The sequence below is a fragment of the Homo sapiens genome, chromosome 1 (genome assembly GCF_000001405.40).
Source record: "Homo sapiens chromosome 1, GRCh38.p14 Primary Assembly".
Lineage (NCBI taxonomy): Eukaryota > Metazoa > Chordata > Mammalia > Primates > Hominidae > Homo > Homo sapiens.
Window position 1 is genome coordinate 172,657,574 of NC_000001.11, and position 10,259 is coordinate 172,667,832.

Sequence of the window (10,259 nt, forward strand, 5' to 3'; positions counted from 1 at the left end):
AGAGTTAGATTTGAATGTCAGATATATGATGAATAATTGTTTAGTATATTCCATGTTTGGACATGTTTAAGACCTACTTGTCCTAAAAATAATGTATTATTTATCTGAAATTCAAATTTAACTGGGCACCATGTATTTCATCTGGCAACCATAACAGGGGCAGCACACAGAAATGTTGGCAGGGACCAGGCAGGCCTTTCAGATAGTGAGGTGGTGTGTGAGACACAGGCCAGTGGTGGAGGCTGGGTGACCCAGAACTCCTGTCTCTCATTCTCAGGGGCAGCTGCTACATACTTCCCACTGATTGGGTTTGCAGAGATGGCCTCGAGGGTGTCTGATATTCTGATATTTCAAAACAGAATAGAAATATGTATTTTAATGTGTATTTAATATATATATTTTAAAATATTTTTAATGTTGATATTAAAAGTGGTCAGTTGGGCTCAGTGCAGTGGCTCATGCCTGTAATTCCAGCACTTTGGGAAACTGAGGCAGGAGGATGTCTTGAAGCTAGGAGTTTGAGACAAGCCTGGGCAACATAGCAAGTCCCCATCTGTACAAAAAAAAAAAAGAATAAATTAGTCAGGTGTAGTGACTTATGCCTATAATCCCAGCTACTCAGGAGGCCAAGGCAAGAGGATTGCTTGAGCCCAGGAGTTTGAGGCTGCAGTTAACTACGATAGCACCACTGCACTCCAGCCTGGGTGACAGAGTGAGACTCTGTCTCTATTTAAATAAATAAGTAAATAAATAAACTGGGCAAACAATGAAAATGAAAACATTGCGAAATACAAAGCAGCTCTGTGGGTTCCACTGGTTTGCAGCCTCTGATCTAATTTCTAAAGTGGGTGTAGCAGGTTTTTAACCTGTAAATTATGGTGATCGGCAGGTCAGGGTAAATGGTAGTTGTGTGTGGGGAAGAGATGATGGCAACAGATGTTTTCCTCCTGCAAAAACTAAAATGTGGGAGTGACTTCTCTGGCCATGACTCCATGGTCTCTCCCCTCAGAGCCATTTTCAGTAAAATTTTTATAGTTTAAAAAATACGGTTCTGAACAATTTTTGTTAGAGTTATTTTGGGATTTTTAAATAGTTTTTTGGTTGTGTATATGGTAGAATTCTTAAAATTATACAATTATAATGTATAAAAAAGCATGCAATTATAATTCATAAAATTATAGCCCCACTGACCATTCTCCTGTAGCTGGGAGCAGTTCACACTAACAGGGCTATACCCCCATGCTGACCTGCTCTGCAGGATCCCAGGAAGGTGAGCATAGCCTACTAACCTGTTTGGGTAGCACAGCGACAGCAACTGAGGCCTTGAAGGCTGTTATCAGAAAATTGTGGGCGGAAACTTCCAGGGGTTTGCTCTGAGCTTCTTGAGGCTTCTCAGCTTCAGCTGCAAAGTGAGTGGGTGTTTCTTTGAGAAGCAGAATCAGAGAGAGAGAGATAGAGAAAGAGAAAGACAGAGGTGTTTCCCTTAGCTATGGAAACTCTATAAGAGAGATCCAGCTTGCCTCCTCTTGAGCAGTCAGCAACAGGGTCCCGTCCTTGACACCTCAGCCTCTACAGGACTGAGAAGAAGTAAAACCGTTTGCTGGGGCTGGCCTGACTCACCAGCTGCCATGCAGCAGCCCTTCAATTACCCATATCCCCAGATCTACTGGGTGGACAGCAGTGCCAGCTCTCCCTGGGCCCCTCCAGGCACAGTTCTTCCCTGTCCAACCTCTGTGCCCAGAAGGCCTGGTCAAAGGAGGCCACCACCACCACCGCCACCGCCACCACTACCACCTCCGCCGCCGCCGCCACCACTGCCTCCACTACCGCTGCCACCCCTGAAGAAGAGAGGGAACCACAGCACAGGCCTGTGTCTCCTTGTGATGTTTTTCATGGTTCTGGTTGCCTTGGTAGGATTGGGCCTGGGGATGTTTCAGCTCTTCCACCTACAGAAGGAGCTGGCAGAACTCCGAGAGGTAAGCCTGCCGGCAGACTGCTGTGCCCTGGAGGCACCAGGCATAAGGGGATGGAGGGCCCACTGCCTGGCTTGCAAAGTGCTTTTCAATCCTTTTTTTTTTTTTCTTAGAAATGGGTTGTTCTAGTTATTCTATTCTATAGACAGAGAAATGGAGGCTCATAGGGGTGAAGGGAATATTTTTTACTTTGTAAAGAATCAGAGCCCAACAGTTTGTCTTTCCTCAGTTGTCAACTCAGTCTGTTGAACCACTTACTGCCTCATACCTATTGATTTAAGGAGTAAAAAACAAACAAACAAAACTTTTAAGTTTTGCTTGGAAGTAAATTTGTTCAGATGACCAAACTAAATCTTGAAAATTGGTACGATTCCAAATCACAAAACTGAGGGACAGTGAGGCAAAATTGCTTGGCCAAAGCCCAAGTTAGCAGAACTTCTGAGGTATTTGGATTCTCTTTCCAGGGCTTGGTTTATTTGACGATTCTGCCTCTTTTGCTTAAAGAATTTTATTTTTATTATACATCTTTTCTCTTTCTGTTTTACTAGTCTACCAGCCAGATGCACACAGCATCATCTTTGGAGAAGCAAATAGGTGAGTCTTTTTTCGCATGTACATTGAGTTCCCAAAGATGATCCTCAGCACAGAACTATGTTAATGGAATGCCTTAAATTCTGTCCCACACTTTGGTTTCTGTACACTATAAGAGGAATTCTGGCTAATTCAGAATCTCTGGTCTATGATTCCTTGAGCTGCTTTAAAAATGTGAAGTGAATTGAATTGCTCACAATCAATATAGCTGAGCACTGCACACAATTCAAAATCACTTCCACTTGACTTTGGAAAGAGACACACATATACAACCCTGGACCTTTGCCCCCTGAGAAGTGGCTCCAGGCCTGTCCCCTTCCACAGACATCCTGGTCCTGGCACACACGCCAGTGGCTGTAACTCCTGGGAAGAGAAGGCGAAATGAAGGCAGAGACAGATGTTTCTGAGAAACGTCCTTTCCTCTTTTAAATGCCCTAAAGAGATTACATTGAAGCTTTATTTACAATATGTTTTATAGGATGTAAGCTTTTAAAACATGGATAATCAATTCCCCACATTAGAATGGTTTTTCTTGAAGTCACTGAGAAGCTTAAGGGAAGACTTCAGCCATCATTCAAAGGATGTTCAGCTTCACCCACAGAGGCAGTCATGAGGTACCCTTGATCACAAAGGAAAATCCTTTGTATGGGAGCTAGGGCAAGAAGATGATAGGTTGAACACTGATCTCATGAAATTTCAGGGCATAGTTGTGCAAGCTCTGTACAGATAGATTTTACAGTGTGCTTCACTAGTCTAAGATTCATTGAAATTTTAGATTTAGATTTACAATGAGATTCATTGAATTTTTAGAGGTGGAAGGAAGCTTAGAATATATCTAGTCCAGCCATTTCATTTTTTGGAAGAGAAACAAAATACCAGATGGATTAGGTGAATATGCCCAAGACCACTGGTATGCCATTGGGGCTAGAAGGAACACAGGCTCTTGATGCCTTGTCACCTACAGGGCTTTCCAGTACTGGACTGGTGCCTCATGAAGGAGGGAAACTCCTGTCTCTCTGTAGTGAGCATGGAATAAGAAATAGATGAAAAGCAGGATACCTCTGCAAAGACTATAGGTAGATCTCATCCTTAGAAACTCAGAATAAAGAAGAAGGCAGCACTGGCCATCTATTAAGTGAAGCAAGTTCCAGTTTCTCCGGATGTGGCTACTGCACATGACCCAGTCGCCTGTCTACTATCCTAGACTGTTAAGTTCTTATATGAGCCACTGTTGGGATGCTCTGGCCCCTGCTTCTGTGTCCTAATCCTTAAATGTTAGAAAGTCCATATGTACACAAGCAGAGTGGAAATATTTGATAGAAAAGTAAAGCCTCTGGAGGACGTCTGAAATAAGATCATTTTGAAAATCTGTGGAATGTGCCTGGTCTGATAGGTATCTAATTATTCATCTTTCACCCACTCTCTGGAGTCAATTTAGTGATTAAAAGTCAAATGATCAGGTGAGTCAGATCCATCTACCCCAGTAAGCAATTATGTTCTCTAGATCAACCCAAATAAACCAGAAATTGGTAAATCATCACATGGAAATCAAATCAGTAACTTTACTAATAAGAAAAGAGATGCAAATTAAAAATAGGGAATACCAATTTTCATCAAATTAATAAAGATTAAAAAAAAACCCAGACTGACAAAGATTTGAGAGAAAAGTGCCTGTGCAAACATTAGTTTCAGCCAGTATACATGTAAATTGCTATAACTTTTTTTGAAGAGCGCTTTAGAAATACATAGCAAAAGCTTGTAACTAGTAGTTTACGTTGTAATCCTATCGCTAAGAATTTATCTTAAGAAAATAATCAGAGATGTGCCCGAAGATTTATATATAAGGATGTTCATTACTTCCTTATGAGCCTATTTATAATAAATAATTCAGAAGAAACTTGAATGCCTCATACGAGATTAGTTATATACATTATGGTGTATTCAGACAAGCACATAATAAGCAGCAACTAAAAGTGATGTATCAGAAGGACATTTAATGCTTTGGGGATTGTGCACTCTGTATTGTTAGATAAAAAGACAAGTTACAAAAGGGTATGTTTAGTTTCATACTGACTATGTAACCATGTATGCACATTTTTATATTCTTAGGAACTGGAAAGTTTTACACACTGACATACTAACAGTGATTTTCTCTGGGAGATACTATTATAGATTATTTATACTTTCTAATTTGCTCCTTTTTACATTTTCCATTTTTTTCCGGTTAACTAATTAAATCTTTTATTCATTCACATGTGTGAGGCTAGATGTTGGGTGTTGGATGCTGATTGAGGATGAGCCAGCCCAGGGGGCCTGTCCTTATGGAGCTTTTAGCAGGGGGAAGAAGCTAAACAAAAGCAAGCAAACAGACCATGCAATTCCAAAGTTGTACTAAGTACAACCTGAGAATCTTCTTTAAGGAGGTGTTGTTTACGCTAACACCTTGGGGGTCAGAAGCCCGATGAGTGAACGGCTGTGTGCATGTGCTGTGGAGTGGGGTGGGGCTGGGGGCGGGCATTTCAGCGCTGGGAACGGCACATGCAAAAACCCTGGGGCAGGAAGCACTCATAACCAGTGTCTAGGATATCCTTGCAATTTATTTATTCCAGTATAGGTACAGCAGATATTCTTAGTGAGCATGTTCTGTAAGAATAACGTTGTACTAGGCTCTGTGAGGGATATAAAGACATGCAACATGTGGTTCTCTGTTCCGTTTCCTGCCGGTGCGTGGCTGAGTGCCAGATTAGTTGCTCGGGTGGTTTGCGGTGTAGGAATGCAGAGGAGACTCAGTTTTGCCTTTCCTGTTCGCTAACACCTCCTACATGGTGGGTTGTCTTGGATGACTAGAGAGGTCATGATTGCTCAGCTAATGTTCTCTGTGGATTGGGCCATTCTCATACCATATGTGAGTTTTACAGGCTAATCACGAACCTGACATAGACAAGCATCTCCTGTGAATATTTATTGAAGTCTCAGTTAGCTGAATTCATTAGCTAAGTGGCAGCTGTCTATCTTGTCTGAAACAGTTGAAGTCAGAGAAATAGTGTCTGTTTTGAGAACTATTGTCTATCCTTCCATTTAATTTGTCCAACATTTGCTAGTAACATGCCCTGTGTTAGAAACTGGGCTTCTCTGGTGAACTCAACGTATCGTAAGGAACTTGTCGTTATTTGAGGGGAATAAGATAATTTATGTAGTTACCCCAGAGACAAGAGGAGTCAGAAATGACAAGAGAGGGGAAGACAGAGGGATCCTAGATTTCAAAAGAGGGGCAGATCATATTTGATCAAAAAAGGCTTGAGAGGGTTTCCCAAAGAAAGCGGTAATAGGTAGTCCTTATGGGATGTTTAGGAATTTGACACAGAAATCTGCTTGAAAGAACATTACGGGCAGAAGACATGGCATGAACAAAGGCACAGAGGAAGGAAAGTGGGGGTATGTGTAGGCCACAGAACTCCCGTTGTGTGGCAATGCTCAGTGGGAGTAAGGAGATAAGGCTGGACAGATGGGCTGGGATTGTGTGATGGGGATACTTGTATACGACGGCATCTTCGGGGAGGAGCAATTAAAGGTGTTTGAGGACTCAGTGATATGAGGTGATTGTCAGAGGTCTTAAGATAATTAATTTGGGGCAGATTGTAAAATGTCACTGGGGGAAGATCTGGTGACACGCAGACAGATCAGTAGTCTTCTTCAGCCTCTGTCCTGTAAGTCTTTGGAACAAGAGAATCAGAGTGGACAGAGCCCTGGAATTGGCGTCAGGAGAGCAGGGTGTGGTCCCATCTGTGATGCTGACTAGCTGGGTCTTCTTGGATTAGTCACCCAACTTCTAAGCTCATTTTGCAATCGATAAGGTGGGACAATAATACCTACCTCAAAGGGTTGTGGTGAGTTCTAAATGCAATAACTGACATGACAGCTCTTTATGAATAAATGTTTATATTAATTATGTTTTATTGTAACATTATAATTTATACATATGTCAATCTTAATTTGGTTTATTTTTTTACCTCTTTGTTTCTGAAATATAGACTACTATGAATCCTGCAGTTCAGACCTACATGATTAGTATATGTTAGACTGTTGCCATTTACGGTTTTAAAATCTTTTTTTTAAAATGATTGGATTTAAATTCCCACCAAAATAATAGTTGCTATTTCATTTTAACATATATTTTTCCTCTCTCTATGATACAGGCCACCCCAGTCCACCCCCTGAAAAAAAGGAGCTGAGGAAAGTGGCCCATTTAACAGGTCTGTATCTGGAAGGTACAGGTGAGATTTGGGAAAGCTTTTGGCAAAAGGCAAAATGGCTGCCTGGTTTCCATTACCAGGCTCTAGAGAGTTGTTACTTCCTGGAGACAGTATTTGAACCCAATAATACTAACACTTTTCTTGTCGAGTCAGTCTTATGAACACACTTTGATCCCCTATTCTCTGGGCAAGGCCCTCTTCTAAATTGGAGACCTGGAGCTGATTATGACATGACCCCTGCCCATAAGAAGCTCATTCTTTTCAGTCATTCCAAAGTCCCTTGGGGGATTGGGGGCACAGATCCAAGAGGTGAGAGATGAGAAGGTGAGGAATGAGGACTTATTTTAGTCAGTGCTTTCTTGGTTTTCTGGAAGAGCTTCACTCTGCTTTGTCCAAGAGTATAAATAGGAGTGAGAAGGGAGACTCAATCCTGGCACTTGTAGAGTTTCAATATGTGCCTGTAAAGTGGAGTGAAATGATATGGTATGGGCACTCCCATTATAAACTACATAAATAATGGAATAAATATCACAGAAAGTGGTAGGCTATTGTCCCTGGAATTATTTAGGCAGAAATTATAGAATGATCCGGTCACATCAGCAGACACTTACTGAATACCTGCTGTGTGCCAATTTGGGGATGTGAAGATGAGTAGCACATGGCTCTTGCCCCCAGGGAGCTTGACATCTAATAGGGAAAGACAGGCACTTATGATAATTTCAGTACTTCAGAGATTTAGGTTATGTTCATGATGTTGTGGGGATACAAAGAAAAGGGAACTGTACCCCAAATTGAGGGGCTGAATAATTCTTACTGCAGGTGAGAAGATGGACCAGATGGTCCCTAAGATCCTTCCCAACTTTAGAACTTTAGAGTTCCTTGGATTTGGCTTTTTCCTTCAGGAAAGGACTTCAAAGCCTAGCAGATTTGGTGCTAGTTCTGAAGATAGTAAAATCTTTGTTCCAGAGAGCAAATATTTTCTCAATAATTTCTTACTGCAATGGATTACGGGTATATACTATTGTTCCAATTGTGTGGATGACAAAATAGGACAACGTTGTTGAGGAAATTCTGTGATGGATCAAGTTCTGACCCCTCAGCCAGTTCTATACCAGCTGTCATTCTGGGTGAAACATTTGTTGAAGGAAGGGCCCACAGTTTTGCCTTAGAAACTTAGTTTGTTGGATGCATGACTATTCCTTGTTGAAAGCTCCTTTTGGATTTATTTCAGGCAAGTCCAACTCAAGGTCCATGCCTCTGGAATGGGAAGACACCTATGGAATTGTCCTGCTTTCTGGAGTGAAGTATAAGAAGGGTGGCCTTGTGATCAATGAAACTGGGCTGTACTTTGTATATTCCAAAGTATACTTCCGGGGTCAATCTTGCAACAACCTGCCCCTGAGCCACAAGGTCTACATGAGGAACTCTAAGTATCCCCAGGATCTGGTGATGATGGAGGGGAAGATGATGAGCTACTGCACTACTGGGCAGATGTGGGCCCGCAGCAGCTACCTGGGGGCAGTGTTCAATCTTACCAGTGCTGATCATTTATATGTCAACGTATCTGAGCTCTCTCTGGTCAATTTTGAGGAATCTCAGACGTTTTTCGGCTTATATAAGCTCTAAGAGAAGCACTTTGGGATTCTTTCCATTATGATTCTTTGTTACAGGCACCGAGAATGTTGTATTCAGTGAGGGTCTTCTTACATGCATTTGAGGTCAAGTAAGAAGACATGAACCAAGTGGACCTTGAGACCACAGGGTTCAAAATGTCTGTAGCTCCTCAACTCACCTAATGTTTATGAGCCAGACAAATGGAGGAATATGACGGAAGAACATAGAACTCTGGGCTGCCATGTGAAGAGGGAGAAGCATGAAAAAGCAGCTACCAGGTGTTCTACACTCATCTTAGTGCCTGAGAGTATTTAGGCAGATTGAAAAGGACACCTTTTAACTCACCTCTCAAGGTGGGCCTTGCTACCTCAAGGGGGACTGTCTTTCAGATACATGGTTGTGACCTGAGGATTTAAGGGATGGAAAAGGAAGACTAGAGGCTTGCATAATAAGCTAAAGAGGCTGAAAGAGGCCAATGCCCCACTGGCAGCATCTTCACTTCTAAATGCATATCCTGAGCCATCGGTGAAACTAACAGATAAGCAAGAGAGATGTTTTGGGGACTCATTTCATTCCTAACACAGCATGTGTATTTCCAGTGCAATTGTAGGGGTGTGTGTGTGTGTGTGTGTGTGTGTGTGTGTATGACTAAAGAGAGAATGTAGATATTGTGAAGTACATATTAGGAAAATATGGGTTGCATTTGGTCAAGATTTTGAATGCTTCCTGACAATCAACTCTAATAGTGCTTAAAAATCATTGATTGTCAGCTACTAATGATGTTTTCCTATAATATAATAAATATTTATGTAGATGTGCATTTTTGTGAAATGAAAACATGTAATAAAAAGTATATGTTAGGATACAAATAATTTTTAGAATTTACTAATATTTGAATTTTTTGCTTATTATTTCTTTCCTCCTTGATTTCTTCATTCATTATGATATCAGACCACTTTTAAGAATAATTTACTGGAGTGAGAAGAACTATGAATCAAATCTTTCTGCCTTTGCTAGGCCTTCCTTCTCTCTATATATTCTCTTTCCTCTTCACCTCCCAGAGTTTCCATTACCAATATTATGACCAATGTTAAGCTTAGCCAACTTTCCATAGATTTGATGAGAAATTATATTTTCCTGAAGGCAGAACCATGGCACAGTGGAAAGGGCACATATTTTGGACTAAAAAACTTAGATTTGAATCTTTGTTCTTCCACGTACTGCCTATGTAAGCACTGGTTAGGTCACTTGACCTTCCTTGAACAAAAAAAGAGCTGAAAGTATCAGACACATAGAACATCAAAAAATAGTGTCTGCCACTACTAAGCCACTCTATTAGAGCCACTTCATTCTCCAGAGGCCACTGATCTGTGGGATCCATCTAAGCACCTGGTTTCTTGTATTCTCATGCTTGTCATTCACAACGGCCTTTTCCTATTTTCTTCAACCACTCACTATCATGGGCTCTCCCTAGACTTTGTTATCATTAAAAATTATAGTAACTCCTTTGGAATTTGATTTTAGGTGTCTTATTTTCACAACATCATCTTCTATTATTCCAGCGGAATTGGTCCAACATTTTCTTTTCTAAAATATTTTTGAAAATATTGAGACTTCTAATTAATAAACTTTATTATTTTCTTATATACACATCAGCTCCTTCCACGTCTTCACTTCTCTCTATGTCCAGCATAAATGTCATCATCTGTCATGACAACCAGCACCTTGGAAAGACTCTCAACTCCAAAATACTCTCTTCCTCCAATGTATTCCCCTTGCAAAAATCCTATTTTCTTTAAGCTGTCATCCCAGAAGCTGGATGTTGCTG

General features: G+C 41.1%; 1 protein-coding gene across 2 annotated transcripts; it reads left to right on the forward strand.

The window, feature by feature from the left end:
• FASLG (Fas ligand) lies at positions 1,530–9,303 on the forward strand. 2 transcript variants are annotated; one of them, NM_000639.3, is made up of 4 exons: positions 1,530–1,976; positions 2,522–2,567; positions 6,761–6,817; positions 8,049–9,303. In NM_000639.3, the coding sequence occupies exons 1-4, from the start codon at positions 1,629–1,631 to the stop codon at positions 8,441–8,443; spliced, it is 846 nt and encodes a 281-aa protein (NP_000630.1). In that variant the 5' UTR covers positions 1,530–1,628; the 3' UTR covers positions 8,444–9,303. The 2 variants fall into 2 exon arrangements, with proteins under 2 accessions (NP_000630.1, NP_001289675.1); NM_001302746.2 differs by lacking the exon at positions 2,522–2,567.

What these genes read in the sequence shown, in the direction of transcription:
- FASLG (NM_000639.3), top strand. Translation starts at nt 1,629, where the DNA reads ATGCAGCAGCCCTTCAATTACCCATATCCCCAGATCTACTGGGTGGAC. An exon ending in AGCTGGCAGAACTCCGAGAG is followed by an intron (nt 1,977 to 2,521) that starts GTAAGCCTGCCG and finishes CTGTTTTACTAG; the next exon opens with TCTACCAGCCAGATGCACAC. An exon ending in GAAAGTGGCCCATTTAACAG is followed by an intron (nt 6,818 to 8,048) that starts GTCTGTATCTGG and finishes GATTTATTTCAG; the next exon opens with GCAAGTCCAACTCAAGGTCC.